We start from the raw sequence: 19,035 nt of genomic DNA, 5'->3' as shown, positions 1-19,035 counted from the left end.
TTATTACTGCTGTAACAGGTTAAACATGAATGTGGCCATAGGCACCAAATATGTTGAACTGGTTTTAAAGAAAATAAACTTTCCCTTTTCCTGAACCTTTCATCCATTTTGAAGCTTTGAACTACTTAGATAAAAATTTCCCTCTCATTTTTGTCTGCCTTTGTAGTCTGACTTTGAGCCAGGACTTGAAGCAGACACTATGGCTCATGCAGAAAAGAAACTTCTTCCCACAAGACTGCCAGCGAAATTTTGCAGACTCAAGATGTTCGGAGAGTTTGGACAATCATCACAGTTTTTGGACGCCTATCTGAGGTAAACATAAAGCCAAACCTTGACAGTCTCATTAGTAGTGTAAGTATGATTCAATATGAGGAATTTCTGCTCTTGGCTGGTTGATATAAGATAATTATAAGATTTCTTAATTGAAATTTAATTGGAGATACAAAGTGATACATGGCACTTTGTAAAGCATCACAGCTAAACAATTTGCTCCAGTATACCAGATGAGCAGAAAACAAATCAATACATTCTTAGAACTGCTAAGTGAAAATTATGTAGAATAATTGCTTCAATCATTGAAAATACAATTTTTTAGCAGTATGTTTGTGTAACCAAAAGTATGTTATTAGTTATTGAGTGAGTAAAGCATTTGTCATCACAGTTTGCACTTGAAAGGGTTACAGGTAAGAGCTGTTTTTTGTGCCCAATTATTTCCTCAGTCCTGTGTTCTCACCCTAAGCAACTTAATGAAATTGGAAAGGCATATCCTTTTAGAAATGTATCTGTAGTAAAGATAATTTGAAAGCACTAAACTCTAGAAAATCTTTTCCGCTGGGCGCGGTGGCTCACGCCTGTAATCCCAGCATTTTGGGAGGCCGAGGCAGCGGATCACAAGGTCAGGAGATCAGACCATCCTGGCTAACACGATGAAACTGTCTCTACTAAAAATACAAAAAAATTAGCCGGGCGTGGTGGCAGGCGCCTATAGTCCCAGCTACTCGGGAGGCTGAGGCAGGAGAATAGCTTGAACCCCGGAGGTGGAGCTTGCAGTGAGCCGAGATCGCGCCACTGCACTCCAGCCTGGGAGACAGAGTGAGACTCCGTCTCAAAAAAAAAAAAAAGAGAGAACCTTTTCAATGCTGATGTAGTTAGGCTTTGTGTCTCCACCTAAATCTCACCTTGAATTGTAATCCCATAATCCCCAAGTGTCAAGGGAGAGACCAGGTGGAGGTAATTGAATCATGGAGGTCGTTTCCCCCATGCTGGTCTCGTGATAGTGAGTGAGTTCTCGCGAGATCTGATGGTTTTATAAGGGGCTCTTCCTCGCTTTGCTTGACATTTCTTCCTGCCTTGTGCTGCGTTGTGTGGAAGGTGTCTTGCTTTCCCTTTGCCTTCCGCCATAATTGTAAGTTTCCTGAGACCTCTCCAGCCATGAACTGTGAGTCAGTTAAACCTCTTTCCTTTATAAATTACCTAATCTCAGGCAGTTCTTTATAGCAGTGTGAACACGGTCAAATACAAATGCTAGAATGTTTCAAAAGGTAATCCCAGGATGGTAATAATGCAGGAGGGCAATGCTCTGTGGCTTAATGCCTTAGGTGCCCAGAGACCTTTATCCTAAACAGAGGGAAAACCTTGTTACAGGGTTTGTTGCAAACTGAGAAGAAAGCCTTCTGTAGCATGTCATTTCCTTTCGTTTTGTTTTGCTGGAAGGGCAACAGGAATCTATTTGGGTTAAAGGACAGGCAGAAGTGGAACATCAGAAGTCAGGGGTCTTTTGGGAGAGTCCTGAGTAGCAGGAGTCATAGATCTGGAATAATTAGATTATTAAAATGAACACTTGAACAAAGGGGAACAGAAAGCTGTTAACCTTAAGAAAAGATTCCAGACAATTCTGTTTGACTCTCTTTTTTATCAAAACAAATAAAGGAGTATAAGTTAAAATGTATTCAGTGAAGTCTCTAACCGGCACCAAGGTACTGAGAGTTCTTTAAGTGTTCTTGTAAATTACACACCACGTTGCTTATGTGATTATTAATGCGATGATGTAATAGTTGTATTTTTATGTACAAAGAATACGAGCCTGGATTGTGTGCTAAATTCCTGCTTTTGCTCACTTACCCCTTATAGACAGCATAAAGGAGGACTCTTGGTCAGATATTTGTAGAGGTGGCTATAGTTCCCTTTATTTGCCTAAACTTGCTGAGTTTCTTAAGAGGGATGCAATGGGTGTTCAAATGGAACAATTCTCACCGTGGTGGCTTCAGTATTGCAAGGTGTTAAACACCCCATCCTACTAAATGCCACAATCACTTTCCATCCATTGTGATACCCACCATGTGATAACTCTGCACATTTCCAATCTCTTCTTGGAAAGTGGTATACGCATACACCCCTGAAGTCTTCCCCTAGCCCCAGCCACCACCATATAAGAACCACTGGCCTAGGATATGTGGGTTCGGTTATCTGAATCTCAATTACAGAAAATCAACAGCACTTCTGGTAGTAGAAGGTAACCCAGTTAAGAATTAAAAAGTATAGACTGTAGTTTGAATACTGAATCTTTTGGAAAATCATTGAATTATTTGAACCTCAGTTTACTCATCTATTAAGTGGTAATCCACCCTCTCTCCCATTTAAGCCACTTAATTCTTGTGAAAATCAAGAGATCTTATGTACCTTAAAATACTTTAAAAAATATAAAAACCTACATAAGGAAATAATATAGTCATTCCTCAGTATCTATGGGGGAGTGGTTCCAGGACCTCCCTTGGATACCAAAATTCAGAGATGCTCAAGTTCCTAATATAAAATGATGTAGTATTTGCATAAAACCTATGCACATCCTCCAGTATACCTTAAATCACTTCTAGATTACTCATAATACCTAATATGATGACTGCTATGTAAATAGTTGTTATACTGTATTATTAAGGAATAATGACAAGAAAAAAGGTCTGTAAATGTTCAGTACAGACACCATTTTTTTTCAAATATTTTCAATCTGAGATTGGTTGAATCCACAGATGCAGATATGGAGGTTGTATTAGGTTGTATTAGGAATAATCCTCAGTAGTCATTATCTTTGGGTAATGCGATAAAAGACAGCCAATTAGTATGAGATAACCTATTATGTAAACTGTTCTAGTAGCTATAGAGGATTCAAAGGAAAATAAGACAGAATTGGTGCCCCTGTGGCTGTCATGACAAAGATACAATGTATGTGGTTGAAAAGATGTCAGTATGAAGGTAATAAATGATTAGAAGCAGACATGTGCTATTACAATATGTACTGGAGAAGTTCAGAAGAGAAAATGTGTTCAGTGGAAGATACAAAAAGCCAAAAATGATGAAGGAACCACTTCCCCTATTATACCATTTGAAATGAATAGTTCTTTTTCATCATAATGCATATTAGAAAAGTATCAATCTTCTCCATATGCATATTTTATAGGTCATAGATCTTGAGAATATAAATGATTAACACTTTCTTCTGTGGGAAATATTATCAGATAACAATTCATTTCCCTAATAAGACAGACAAATGATTGAAAGGCAAGAAGGTATTAGTTTCATAGTGCCACTGCTGATATGTCCTCTGACTGACTCTCAGATGAACACGTTCGCTGATGGTGTTTTTGTCTTCCCTGTCTGGTCTCTGGCTCTGGTCTTGCTCCTGGTGGCTTTGGTCTCACCTCTGTGTCCTGACTTCAGCCCATCTTTTCCTTGAACTTGGTATTCCTGGTTCAGGAATTGACCTCAGCTTGGAATTCTGGAAACTCATCCCTAAGGGGTGGACTCCTTGACTCCATGTTTTCTCCAGAAATCTAGATAAAGTGCAACCTTGTAAGGGGTCTTCTACCTTTGCCTTGCTTAAGATGTTAAAAGCCCCTTGGTAATGAAGAGATGCCTGTATGAGAACAACCTGATGAACCATAATATATTATACAAGATTATTTGGCCATTCTAATATTTATTAACCTGAAATTCCTGAAGAAGAAATGACATTGTCAGTTATCAAAAACTTGCATTTCAACTCTTCCTTCTTGTCTTCGTCAATGTGGCAAATCCTTCTCCTTTTTGGAGAAAATGTCCTCCTTTAGCTGTGACATTGATCTCTCTAGATCCTCCTTTCCGTATGAACACTCCTTCTCCCGCAGCACTGGCTTCTCTTCCCTCAGTTTCCCCTGGTGCAGGCTCTCCACATGGATCTGTCATGAGTCCTTTTCTTTCTTGTCTGCTCACCCCATGGCCCAGCTATCTCTCCAGTCAACATCTCTCCCAAGCTCCAGCCCCCATTTCAGACCACAGGCCAGACCCTTTATATGAATGCTCTTCCTATACCTCAGACTCAAGTCCGTAACGTAAACATCGTATGGACTTCTCCGTAACATCCAACAGAAATCTATTCCTCCTTTGGTCTTTCTCATCTGAATGGCATAATTATCTAGTCATCTAGTCATTCAGACTTGTAGGAATCACCTTTATTGTTTCTTTCTCCTTTATTCTTAATTTCAATAACTCACCAAATCATGAAAAATATCTTCAAAACATTCCTTGATTCAGGCCCCTAATTTCTATTACTGTAGGTTCTTCCCCTCTCAGTTTCTCGTCAGTGACTGTTATAATAACATTCTAATTAGGTAACAGCGTCTAGTCTCTTTGCCTACTAATTAATTCTGTCCATGGATAGAATTAATTAGAAGGGAAAGATATTTTTAAAATAATTTAGTTATAAAAGTAATAAAAGATGATCTTAAAAATTAAAACAACAGCAAGGTAGAAAGTAAAAAGCCAGTCTTCTCCCTCAACTCCCAAAGGTTTGATGTATATTTTTCCAGATGTCTTTCTAAAACATATACACACAAATATGCTTTCCATTATTGTCCTCGAGGGTTTTAGTGCTTCTGGTGAAATATCAGGTGTTAGTCTGATTCTTCATTTTGGGTAACCTATTTTAATTCTTTAGAAGCTTTTAGAATTGTCTCTTCATCTTGAGATTGCATCAAGAGCTTTATTATTTTTTAAACATCTATCCTGCCCAATGCTTGATTGATGTGTCTTTCAATCAATCAGAAGGTTCCTGTATTTCTTCAGCAAAAGCTAATTTTCTTCTAATGTTTCTTTCAATGGTTTCCCTTTCTTTCATTATCTGTGATTTCTTCTTATGGAATTCTACTGAATGCACCTTGGCCTCCATGAATCTCCCTCAAGTCTCTATCCTTTTCCCCTATTTATGATGTCTTTTCCTGTGTGATCTACATTTTAAGAAATGTCATTTTTTCTTCTACAAGATAGTTAGCTTTATCCTCTGATTTTTCAGACAATCCTCTGAAATTTTTACTTACGTAATTCTATTCTAATTTTATTATATCCTACTTTTTCCCAAAGCAATATAATATTATTTTTATTGATGGTGTATTTTGTTAATTGGGATTTAAAAATCTTCTCTCCTAAAGTTTTTTCTTGAGATAACTCAGCTTCTTCTTGGATTGGTCCTATTCATTCATTTTGGTAGAGATAGAGAGGCCAAGTTCTTGTTTTCCTATAATACCTGGCTATTCTGATAGTTAGATTATGTTTATGAATGAAGACTTAGGATGACTGGTATAAGTAATGTGCTATGTTTCCTCTGAAGTAGTGAAGATCTGATTTCCCTGTAGAGAATAAGAGTAGGGCTTTTGGAGAACGAGATCATATCCCTTGCAGGGATGTGCATGGAGCTGGAGGCTGTTAGCAAACTTGCACAGGAGCAGAAAACCAAATACCGCACCTTCTCACTTATAAGTGGAAGCTAAATGATAAAAACACATGGACACATAGCAGGGAACAACAGATACTGGGGCCTGCCAGAGGGTGAAGGATGGGAGGAAGCAGAGGATCAGGAAAAATAACTAATGGGTACTAGGCTTAATACCTGGGTGCTGAAATAATCTGTACAACAAAGCCCCAAGACACAAGTTTACCTGTGCAACAAATCTGCCCTTGTACCCATGAACTTAAAAGTTAAAAAAGAAATAAAATGAGAGAAGTAAAAATCTTTAAAAAAAGAAAAAAAAGGAGGGCTTTTGGAAGATTCCCCTTCCCCTGTAAAACTCCAGCCCCTCAATTGCCAAAGCAGGAAAGGATTTACTTCAGGGATAGAGTGGTTCTCTGTTTAACATGCCCTCTGTAGGGCAGCTGTTTTTGTTGACCTGGTGGCCAATACCTTATGAAGACAGTGTTTTTACCTACATTATATCTTCACTGTAGTAGCATCAATGTGAGGGAGGATTTTTCTATCAGCATTCATGATTTTTCACTGAGTATTCCTTAAGCATGCATGGCCTAACTTTTTTGGTTCACCATATAAGCTTCACTTCCTGAGTTTCTTAGGCCAATTTTCTTCCGTCATGGGGACAGAAGATACGTGAATGGTATCACTCAGTGTCCAGTGTGAGTCATTCACACCTGCCGATTTTTCAGCTTTGTTCTGGTCTGGAGTGCCGGACACTGAGTGGTAATGGAATTGGTATTACATCACTCCTCTGGTTTAGGATGAATTCCATCTTTACCTGGGATATCCTGTCCAAAAATTTGAAGGCAGCCTTTCATCTCTGTAATTTGTTCAGGCAAAATAATCATAAGGTTCTGGGTCTAACCATCCATTTCAGATTGATCATCATCAGCTTAAAATTTATAGCTAGTCTACTTAAGCAATTCTTTGTTACTCCAAAGCAGTCTTATTACCAAACATTCTGACAAATAGTAGAAAAAGGGGAAAAAATCACCACATGGTCCCACAATTATATATATTCACACATACATAATCAAGAAATCTTACTACTATAAGCAATATCATAACATTATTATTTTCTAGTCCTTTTTATTCATGCCTTGAATTAAGGGTATTTGACAAAAGGGAGAATATTTTAAAAATATGCTCTGTAATTTGCACAAACACTTCTTCCAGAGACTGGATTCTCTGTTGGGAATATCTAGGTATCAGATGGTGCCAAGACTTCAGAGGAGGGGGACATTCCCTGTTTATTAGAGGGAAAAGAATCTGGAGCTTCTGCAATCCAGGATAAAAGAGAAAGCTGAGAAGAAAGGGCAGTTTGGAGAGAGAGGTGAGTAGTGGTCATTGATGGTTATAGGAGAATATGAATGTCTTAAAATGATATTTAGCTTTCCAGATGACCTGCCTTCTTGGCTCCCTTACAGATTGTGGGCATGCCTGTGATGTAAGTTCCTCATCTGTCTCCTTTCAGACCATCTTCTGTGAAGTTTATTCAGCTCATAAGTGTGAATAAAAAATTGCTAAATGTGAACTCAAAGAGACAGTGCAGTTTTACATCTGAGTCCACTGAATGCATCACAGAAGCAGCATGTGCAGCAACAGGAGTCCAATAGGTGAGAAAAGATATGGAAGACATGCTTTGAACTTTCACAAACCATAAAATTGGCGAGGGGAGGAGCCAATTATATCAATATTGTGAGAGGCAGGAACTTCAGTTGCAGGTGTCTATCTCTCTCTGCAGTTCTAGGTTTATTGAAGGGATGGATAGAGTCTTTGTACCCTTCAATACCCAACAGAGCTTTACACTCAAGGAGTGTTCTATAAATGTCCAACACATGCATAACATAGTCCAAATGCACGTAATGGACATCAATAGCAAGATGAGAGAATAAGGGCAGAGGCCTTATCTGCAAAGAAATATTTTGTTTAATGAGAAGGTTGAGATTGTTGGCTAAAATATCAGACTTCCAGATTTGAGATCTTAACTATCTTCCTTTATTACCAATTGCAGTGGATAAATTAGAGTTAGCTATTGTTACTCCATTTCTATCAAAGTACATTCAGTCACTATTCTGGAGAGTAAATCCTCAAAAACTTCTAATTCTTTACAGTATGTAATTGTTCTAACACAGAACCCGAGGGCCATAGTAATAATGAAATATAAAATATTGTTAAATGTGCACCATTTAGAATGGTGGGAAACCTAATAGAGAAACATAAAATTAGTTTGACGTTTACACATATTGTACGGGGGCTGGGTTTCATTAAAATGAAAATAAACATGTAAGCTAATATTTTAGGTGAAGAAGGTATATGCTTTGCTTTAGCTGCAACAATTACTTCTTTAAGTATTTATTTTCATTTATTTAGCCTGGTTTTATTTTTAAAAACAAAAATATCAATACTTAGTCATTTTGTCTGTAATTATTTGATTTAAAATTATAACAGCTTTATTTGATTTTGTAATTGTCTTCTGTCTGCTGAGAACTCCCACTACAGAAGCCATGTAATTGGATCTTTGTTTTCGGTAATAAAATGTCTCAAAAAACTTTTTTATATTAAACGATTGTTCTTAGGTTTTAATAAAACAGATGTAAGTTAAACATAGTGATTTACCAGATTCATTTCTTTGGGGGGAAAACTAGCTGAAGACTTTCCATCGTCATGTGGTAATGCAGTTCAGTAAGAGCCTGGGGAGGCTGTGCCCTTCTTAATTGTGTACCACTCTCCCCCTTCGCCTGGCTCCCTGCACTTGCGCTAATACTATGCTGCAGGTTACATGACTGAGGGAGGGAGTCAGATTTTGAAGAGAAAAACACATTTTTTTTTTTTTTCTCGAGACAGAGTTTGGCTCTGTTGCTCAGGCTGGAGTGCAGTGGCACAATCTCAGCTCACTGCAACCTCCACCTCCTGGTTTCAAGCAATTCTCTTGCCTTAGTCTCCAGAGTAGCTGGGATTACAGGGATGTGCCACCATGCCCAACGAAATTTTTTGTATTTTTAGTAGAGATGAAGTTTCACTAGGTTGGCCATCTCCTGGCCTCCGGTGATCCACCAGCCCCAGCCTCCCAAAGTGCTGGAATTACAGGTGTGAGCCACCGTGCCCGGCCCAAAGCATAATTCTTAATGGCACACCTAGTTCTTATGTTAGGTGCTTCCTCCTTTCCACTGATCTGGATTCCTTTCTACCTTCCTTTTGGCGTGACTCCTAATTCAAACTGTAACCCTGTTGTATCACACTCCTCATCCAAACTCCATGATATTCGGTATTCTTTGTTCTCATTAGAGTTTACTCATTCCAGGATAACAGACGTGAAAAAAATGCCTAAGAGTTCCCCTGTGGTAGCTAGTCTTCAAATAGACTAGTAAGTGAGAGAAAATAATAAATTGTTTTGAGCCATTAAGTTTTGGAGTGGTTTGTTATGTACCATTAAATAAGTCAAGCACCACTTCAAATGTATGAATCACTCATCATTACAAATTCCACCAAAAAGCCAACTTTTGGTGTTAATAATCCCAGACACATTACTGTCACGTTATGTCTTTGGATAGTTTGCCTACCTCTCTGAGTCTCAGTTTTCTCACATCTAAAACACGTAATAACAGAACCTACCCTACAGAGCTTGCGAGATAACTGGATGAGAGACAGTATATAAATTCCTTTGTAAAAAATGCCAGACATATGTAGCACTCCATTTAGTGTTAGTCATTTAATTTCTCATTGACAGAGAGTGAACGAATGAGAAAATTCCACTTACAACATCAAATGTCTTTTTGGACTTTCACATCAATGTGATTCTTTTACTAAGTTATAGAATTGGAGTTGAAGTTTACTTAAGTCTAAAAGCAAACAGCGAGAAATAATAGGGAATATAGAGCTGGAAAAGTAATTTTGAAGCTGTGTAACTTGCCTGTGAGTAATCCTTAGCAATTTCAGAGGAAAGCATTTCAGGAATTGCTTGTGTCACCGTATCTGGATAATAATTATGGGTCATCATCATTTTAGGTTTGGGCAATCAGGAGGAGGATGTAGCAGTTGTGGTCCTAGCTAGAAAGAGAGGGCACACTAAAACTCAAACAATGCAAGGAGGGTTTCATGAAAAGATTATATCTGAAGGTATCGTCAGAGTATGAGGAAACCCAGGGATAAGGGATCACCTGGGGACTACAAAGCAGAATTGCTACCACTCTTAACCCTAAAGGAACAGAAGGTGGATGCACTTTCCTGAACACAGGGAAGCATTGTGTTGATGGAGACCTTCATTTGACTTAGAGGGCCAAGGCAAGCCCATAGGAGGAAGATGGGACACTAAGTACCTTGAGTTCCTCTCTTTCTTCCTTCTGATCTGCCAGGGCCCTCCAGGACTTAGCCCAACCGGAAACCTGAAGGAGTCTGTTCTAGTCTACACAGATCAGCCACTCAGGGCAAGACAGTGGGGTGGAGAAGAGTGGGAAGAGGAGGATCTGTCAGGGTCTATGAAAGATGATGAGTCAGAGGATAATGGAGCAAAAGTAGTAAGGCAGACTTATGATCCTCATATTTAAATGCTTGTATTTTAATAATCTTAACACAATTCTGTGGCAGCTTAAACCCAAGGAATATTTAAGTTTCTTTTCTGATCTATGAAGAAAAGCTTTGTGAAGATGTACAGAACCCCAAAGAGGTTACTGTCTTTATTTCCTTCTGTATCCTACTCGAAGTTTTAAGGAAGTAATGCCATGAGCATGACTTTTTTTTTTTTTTTTTTTTTTGAGATGGAGTTTCACTCCTGTTGCCCAGGCTGGAGTGCAATGGCGCGATCTCAGCTCACCACAATCTCTGCCTCCCGGGTTAAAGCGATTCTCCTGCCTCAGCCTCCCGAGTAGCTGGGATTACAGGCATGTGCCACCACACCTGGCTAATTTTGTATTTTTAGTAGAGACAGGGTTTCTCCGTGTTGGTCAGGCTGGTCTTGAACTCCCGACCTCAGGTGATCTGCCATCCTCAGCCTCCCAACGTGCTGGGAGCACGACTCTTCAACAATGACTCGTGTCACCTCGGAAGGATTGCTGTCGCGTATATGTTTGTTATTGTGAGTACACACAATTTTTCACAGAGAGCTGAGACAAATGCCACAAGCAGCTGGCAAAGGAGGAGACTGTTGCATATTAATTTCATTCCCTGGGAGGTCTGATCTGGAACCATTTGGGATATGGATGTTTAATGGTCTCTAGCAGTGAACTATCACCAGCTCTGCCTTTTCTCATTGCTTCTTGGAACTGTTTCTCATGCCATCTGCTTCTAATCCTTCACCTTGTCTCTTTCAGATTCCCTTTCTGGAGGCTTCATTTGCTTCTCTTAATTTTTTTTTTTACCCCTGGCTTCAAGCTTGTTTCCTGCTCTGATCAACTAAGATCCACTTACTCTATTTGGCTGATAAAATTATCCATACAGGTGAGGCTGTGAGAAAACACTCCAGGTGCTAAGAGCCTTGGGTAATTTCTAACACTTGCCCCCTATCATCCATTGGCTTTGAGCACAGATGATTAGTGCAGGTGTAGCATTGTGTTTGCATGATGAAAGGAAAACTAAATTGTGTTTCTGTAGACCTACCTGAGGATACGAAGACCTCCTGGAAGAAAGTGAGGCAAGAGGACAACAGATAGCACTAAATATGGGGAGTGAAAAAGGACTGATTTGCAATGTGGATGTGAGAGAGAGAAGATGAACCCAACTCCTCTTTCTTTTTGGATCATAATTTGCTTCAATACCACGGATGTGAGAAGGTTTAACATTTCAACCAGAACAAACTGTAATGAAAGACACGTTTTGGCTGGGTTTGGTCTTTTTCTGATTTGTCAAAATCTGAAAGATCAAAATCTGAAAGCCAGAAAACTATCCAAAGGCAAAGAGAAAAAACACATATGCAACAATACAGAACTTGAAGATGACCCCATGAAGGGTCAAGAAACTGCTGAAACCAAATAGTACGTTCCGAATTGCAGGTAGCTAAGAGCTGGCCTCATGTTCCAAAAAAACCCATGGTTCTTGAGGCGTGTGTTGGAAGCTGAACTCTATGCTGGAAGGCAGGGGCTGCTCCTAGGCCATGTTAGAAGATACAACTTCCAATTCCAAAGAGCTAAAGCCATTTTACATAGTGCACTGGATGAACAAATGTTAAGATTTTAAGATTTGCAGGTGAAAGGGACTAGATCAGTATAAAATTTTAAAATTGGCAACATAAGTGTTACAGTATACATTATATATTATACGGTATATAATTATTATAGGTTACACAGTGGTAGTAAAGTTACTTTGATTTGTAATAGGATAGAAACACCTTGTTAATGGATTCATCATTTTACCTGCATTGGCCTATTAGGATTTAGAAAAGAAAATACAATCCAAACACAATAGCTCTCATACTAGAGTGATTCTTCTCATTCTTCTTCTGTGGAATATCTTGTTTAAACTATTACTAAGGGTGATGGTATCTTTAATTTGAGGTATACCATTGGCATTTTCCATTAACAAATAGTAAAACAAATGGGGCACTTACAACATATGTGCCAATCCCCTCCAATTAAAAATTTCTCCCAAATATCTAGCATCTAGGTTGGAAATGAATTGGTCAAGATATTTGTAGAGCTGAGTGTGTACAATGGGGCAGCACAAATGTTCAGTCAGTGAAACTGACCCCAAACTGAGGCACGCCATTCCTTGTCTGCACACCTAACACCTAGATACACTATACCATGTGGCCCCCTGATGAATTTTACTGTGGGCAGAGGAATCTCTCTCCTTTTGATGTGCTCATTGACTTTTTAGGCTATGACGACAATCTCTCGTTCCAAAGTTAATTTGATTTCTTCAATCTTCATGCTTCCCTCTTAGCTCCCTGTTCAAAGTTAAAATTATTTATTTCGTAAAAAATGATCTTGCAGAATTGTATTTTGCAATGGCCTTTTGTAGAAAAGGTATATCAGAAGTCACTTGAACTAAAGTGTGGTTGGGGCCCTTTCTTCCTCGATTTTAGGCAGCAGTGTGTGTCCTCAGGCTTGGCCCATGGAATAATTCCATGTTGCAGGATTCTGGCCAACATATGCCAACACATTCTTAATTAGAATGCTGGCAGCTAAACATAAGGATTAAATGGTACTATAACGGATTACAAGTCATATCTGTTATATTCTGCTTGGGATCAGTGTTCTGTTTATAAAAGAAAGAGAAACCCAGCAAAATGGCTTTGATAGAGGAGGCACTGTAGCTCAGGCCCTCACAAGTTGCAACAAGGAAGGTTGTTGCTAAGAGTAAAGACGCTGGCTCTTCCTCATGTGACACCACAAAGTGGGCTGGGAATGTATACAGCACAGTTTTCTCATGAGGACCACTAAAGAATCAATCATGGCTCTTTTCTTTTTTAAGGTTTCTTAACATTGTCTGGGGGCAATGGAAGGAAGCGATTCATGAGGTTTGCTTTTAGAGAACTGCTCACTATCTGTGGTGGTGTTTCTGATGGTCAGGAGGACTCACCCAAACTCCATTGAGACAGATCTTGAGAAGGGTTATGGCAGTAGAGTATAGCAGTTAAAATGTACAGATTCGTTAATGCTCTAGGGGAGGGATACTTCATTTTCTATGATGACGTGATTATTACACACTGCATACTTGTATCAAAAAAATCTCATGTGCCCCATATATACATATGCCTACTATGTACCCATAAAAATTAGAAACAAAAAAGTATAGACCCAGGAGCCAGTTTGTCTCAGTGTGAATTCCATCCCTACCAGTAACTGGACAATTGGGAAGTTTTGCTAAACTATTCATATCTTAGTATGTTATTTTTAAAATGGAGAAAACAAATTTCTAGTTCACTGAATCTAACATGAAATCACCACTAGATACCATTGTTTTATGAACCACTAATAAAGAAACAGCATATAGTACTGGCCAAGTAAATAATTAAGCTGCCAAACAATTCTGACCAAATTTGTATGTGTACAAGCAATACAACCACAAAATGAGTCATCTGACAGCTGTTGTTTAAGTATGTCCTTTTCTGTAAAGAGTTCTGATTACAAAGATGTTAAAGTGTTGTAAAATAGATGTCTTAGAATCCCAGAAATCTGGCAGTATCTAGCTTATTGGAATAAGTGAATTTATACAGGTAGTGCCCTTAGAAGAGTGGCATACACTAAGTACTCAAGAAATGTTGGCTATTAATATTATTATATCTATTAGTATTACTAGGAGAATGACAATAACTTTCGTGAGGGTTCAGTGTTAATAGCTCTGTAAGAAAATAAAGAGGAATCATTTTAATTGGTGACTTTAGAATGATGACCATAGGGTTGACAAGCATGAAAATGGCAATTTTAGCATAAACTTCCTACAATTTAGTACTATGTGTAATTCTACACAGTGACTGCACAGACATATATGATGGTGGTTGAATGTTACCGTGCTTCTGGTGTTAACTTTCAAGACCTCCTCATTAGGGGATAACAAGGCCCCTGGACTGGAGTGACCAGGCTTAGCTAAGCCCTGACCTTGAACAAATCCTCTTATTTATCAATACCTTCTCATTACTATCCTTCTAGAAAGCATGCTGGGCCCATGCTGGTCCATTAACATAATCAAATTCATATATTGATATGGAGAATTCTTGGTCTTTGTAGTGGTTCAAAGTCCAAAACTGAAACATTTTCTTTCTCATCTCCCTAGATGTCCACAACTGTATATCTATTGCATTCTCTTTGCACTAACACAATTAGAATATTCTCTGTCAAAGCAATTGGTCTGTAATGTCTATATAATGGTGAAAATTATTTTGAAGATCTTTCTGACTTTAAAAGAACCATTAATCTTCAGATGAGAGTTTTCTTTGTCTGCCTCCCTCCTTCCTCCCTCCCCCCTCCTTCCTCCCTTCCTCCTTCCTTACCCTCCCCTCCCCTCCCCTCCTCTCCTCTCCTCTTTCTTCTCGTTCTCAAAGATTCTCCTCCATTACTTGGAAATTCATTTCCCTAGACTTGTTTTCAATTTCATTAGAAATACTCACCATTTTCAACAACCAAGGCTAAAAGCTGTCATCTTAGGAAAAAGTTCTTATTCCCTAGGGTATTTTTATTTACATTTTTTGGACCACAACATGTGGATCATATAAACAGTGACTGGAAGCTTGTTTCTGTGGCCTAATTTACCATGCACTGTTATATGGAACTAGACTTCACCATTGGAACTCATAACCGAGAGAACAAAGCTAGTTTTCACTTGCAATTAGTATTATTTTTGGCCAGGAAAAGCTTTTGATTGGATTTCTCTATCACAGTTCAGGAGACCAGCAGTTTAGTCCTATTTCAGCAGATATCCAATAGGATGCTATTTCTTGGCTCAAATCAATTAAAATTAAATAGGAAAGAACCATTTCTATTGTTATATATCATTCAAACACCAACTGGTAGAACTATTTTGCATCTTGGTCAGCACAGTAAGCTATATAAAGTTTCATACTTAAAATTGTATTTGCTACAGTTACATTTATAAAGTAACTCCAAAACGTCAAAAGAATGCAATGTCTAAATGGAGTCCTTGAATTGCTGTAATTATGCTTAAGCAGATTCAGTGATCCATGAGGAGGTATGGCCCCAAGGCAAATGAAGAAACATGTTGAAAAGTACTTAAAATAGACTCTGCAGAAAAGATTTGAGACATTGAGTAGTTTTGACTGTGAAGGTATCTGAAACTTCAGGGTCAAATTCTTTCAAAACAACTATTTGATACTAGTTTGCATACTAATAAATTAAACTTCCGAAAAGCACATCCTTTTCCTTTTGAGAGCTTTGCAGCATGGTATAATACTTAGTAGTAAGAAAATGCAAAATAAAAGGTCAATTTATCTAGCTGAGGAAAAGCCTGCATTTGTTACTTAAATTATTTTAGATTTTTCTTCCTGCTGAAATTATTGAAATACAAAAACAAAGAGTGGCTAAAGTATTGGGGAACCACTTTCAATTAACTCTAGCAAATAGTTAACACATGCTCACAAAGCAAACTGAGGGAAATTGCTAAACAATTTTTAAAGCAGCAAGAAAACAATAGTCAAAGAGATTTTATTTTTGGAAGGTGTTCTAAATTGACAGTAATCCACAGTACGGCTGACCTTCACAGCTTCTACATTTAGAAAGAGAGGATGGGGAGATAATTAGTTGTATGAAGGAGGAGTAGAGACAGAAACAAATCACTTTTCTTTGGCTTTGATCCCATACCCTGCAGCAGTGAAGGAACAGAAGGCCAAGTGAGGTAAAAATGTATAAAAAAAATAGTATGTTATACAGAGACCAAGGGAAAGTATCCCACTACTTCCTGGCAGCCTTTGTGATGATTCCGACTCTGAGATACAAATCTAGGACTCAACAAATAGTCAAAAGCAACTTTCAAGATGTATTGTATTTCTGATAAATCATTTGTTTATTTTATGCTGTTGAAGTGTTCCATCTCCATAGGCTCTATACCATTGTGAATACTTAGTAGTATAAAAGAAAATGGCAGTATGAAGATTTTAAAGAGAGGAAACAGAGTCAAAGGTTTTTGAAAAGGTAGAGTGCGGGGAGTTTATTCTAAGTCAATAACAATAAACTATAAAAGTAAACACTTTAAAATAATAAGTAACTTTTAAAATAATACATTAATATTTATTAAGACACTACAATGTGCTAACAGTTTTAAACTCTTTCTCTGTGTTAATTGACTTAACATTCATAATTACCCTAGAGGTGGGTACTTCTATTATTTCCATTTTACCAACAAAGAAACTGAGGCACAGAAAGTTGAAATAACTTGCCACAGTGACCTAACTGATGCGTGATGGAGCCAAGAGTCACATTCTGATTCTAGAACCTCTACTGTCCACCACTAAGCGCTTCTGATGCTTGTTTCACGAATCCCTTTTAATTCTAAAGGGATTATCTGAAGAAGCTTCTTATATACAGGTGTTTTGTTTTTTTTTGTTTTTGTTTTTTTTGCCATCTGCAGCAGGTAAACTGGGTAGATGATACCATAAAAGATCTATGGCACAAGACTGACTACATGTAATATTCTACTGAAACACCACAAATTCAAAGCAAAAGACATTAAAAAATCTCTACCTTTATTCTTCAGCTACATTTATTTTGGTGTTTATTGTTTTCTTGTTAAATCCAGAAACTTGTCCATTAAGATATAAACTGATGCTACTGTCTAATTTAGCTACTGCTACTCATGACTAGATACCAATGACTGTCATAACCAATTCAAACTTCTAACTGTATAGTGATATTCCACTTTTGCCTTGAATATCAGCCTTACTTCTTGGTTCACTAAGGTATCAGTGAGAGCAACATTTTCACAGCTTTATGCATTTATACAGCTGGAATGGGCTTTTCATAACATCATGGTGTTATGGGTTGACCAGAAGAGGTAATAAGGCAGCTGCTGCCACTCTGTAATATTCAAGTCATTAAACAAGAATTCCATGCAACAGGGGCAATATTTCCTGGGCTTGCTGGATTCTGAATTATTCCATTTCGCTAAGGTCTGCAGAAATAGACTCAATATTCTCATTAATGATGGCCTTGCAGGTAAGCTACTGCAGAGGCATAGCTAGTTTTCAGAGTGAAAATTACAAGTGGGTAGGTACTGGATGAAAACAGCGGTTAAGAAAGAATGGAAAAGATAGAAAGAGGATAAAACCTCTCAATGCGTCGCATGCCTTTCATGAGTTAACTCCCAGAAATTGTGTGGTAGGAGTCAGAGATAAGGCTATCTTTTCACTTAAGTGAAAATAAAGGTGCCATTCTCTCTCTCTCTTTTTTTTTTTTTTTTTTTTTGGTGACGGAATCTTCGCTCTGTCACCCAGCCTGGAGTGCAGTGGCGCCATCTTGGCTCACTGTAAGCTCCGCCTCCCGGATTCAAGCCATTCTCCCGTCTCAGCCTTCCGAGTAGCTGGGACTACAGGCACCCGCCACCACGCCCGGCTAATTTTTTGTATTTTCAGTAGAGACTGGGTTTCTCCAAGTTAGTCAGGATGGTCTCCATCTCCTGTCCTCGTGATCCGCCCGCCTCGGCCTCCCAAAATGCTGGGATTACAGGCATGAGCCACCGTGCCCGGCGAAAGGTGCCATTCTCTTATGAATTTCTTTTGCTTTCTAGTTCAACAGTAATTGGGTGTTCTAGGGAATATTTATTGTCCTCCGCAAAATATAAAGGCTTTTGTTTGTTCAATTCAGTGCAAATACACAGAAAAAAAAAAAGATTTAAAATGAATTAAGAAATAAAAGAATAAGAAAATAGGCAACTATAAAATTAGGTTTTGCTTTCTTATGGATTCTGCCCTAGTGTGCTTGTTCCTATTGTCTAGGTATGTAGATGGGAGGAGAGGCAATTGGGTTGGTGAGATAGTGACAGGAAGCACTTGTTCATTTTCAAATTCCCTCTCACTAGTCCTAACCAGGTCCATAGTGTGTGTGTGTGTGTTTGTGCCTAATGCAGACTTTTTCCTTAAAAACAAGAAGCTCATATACAGATTTTTTAATTGACTGCAGCAAATAAAGTAGACTATACCATAAAAGATCCATGGCACAAGACTGAATACATATAATATTCTACTGAAACACCATAAATTCAAAACAAAAAAAAACATTTTAAAAAGCTCTAAAATATAACTAAAACAACCCTGAAAATTATATGGACAAATGGCTAAAAGCCAACCTATCCGATTCACAGTGCTTAACACCAAGATATTTTCTGGATGGTTTTTATGGGGTAAATCAAAGTATTCATTAGAGACATTGCTGCTGAACTTATTGATACATCATGAGGATAGTAGATTAACATGAAAGTCAGTATTTTTCACTATTAAATATTAAAATGATGTAGTTTATATCTGTGTCTCTACTACCCACCTTAAGATATAAAATACTGCCAACACAGTTGACTCCTCACAAATCACGTGCTTCATCTCAAAGGTTACTGCTGTCTGGAATTGACTGTTCCTCATTCCCACACATTTCTCTGTACTACTACATCCGTAAGCCTGAAATAGTACTATTTTGCAAATGTAACTTCATATGCAAACATCTGTCCATGTAATTTATGTGTAAGTTTTTACAACTTGCTTTTCTTTGGTTGATTTTATGCTTATGAGTTTCATATATCCTGATACATGCAGCTCTAGTTCATTTGTTGTGTGACTATATCACAATTTATCCATTTTCTCTTTGATGAATGTTTAGGTTCTT

At 38.1% G+C, this 19,035-nt stretch overlaps 1 protein-coding gene and 2 long non-coding RNA genes across 14 annotated transcripts in view; 2 read left to right on the top strand and 1 right to left on the bottom strand.

Moving 5' to 3' along the window:
- LOC124900807 (uncharacterized) overlaps positions 1–5,752 on the top strand; it is an 84,414-nt gene extending 78,662 nt beyond the window's left edge. Inside the window, exon 2 of the long non-coding RNA XR_007058359.1 lies at positions 167–5,752. This is a non-coding gene — a long non-coding RNA (uncharacterized LOC124900807). The remainder of the gene's footprint in view (positions 1–166) is intronic.
- The window catches only part of PALLD (palladin, cytoskeletal associated protein), a 431,390-nt gene that overhangs the window by 390,489 nt on the left and 21,866 nt on the right, over positions 1–19,035 (bottom strand). The gene's annotated exons all lie outside the window — the stretch shown is intronic.
- The window catches only part of LOC107986198 (uncharacterized), a 44,091-nt gene continuing 32,168 nt past the window's right edge, over positions 7,113–19,035 (top strand). Inside the window, exon 1 of the long non-coding RNA XR_001741448.3 lies at positions 7,113–7,392. This is a non-coding gene — a long non-coding RNA (uncharacterized LOC107986198). The remainder of the gene's footprint in view (positions 7,393–19,035) is intronic.

This window comes from Homo sapiens, chromosome 4 (assembly GCF_000001405.40).
Source record: "Homo sapiens chromosome 4, GRCh38.p14 Primary Assembly".
NCBI lineage: Eukaryota > Metazoa > Chordata > Mammalia > Primates > Hominidae > Homo > Homo sapiens.
This window is presented reverse-complemented; position numbering and strand designations above follow the sequence as displayed.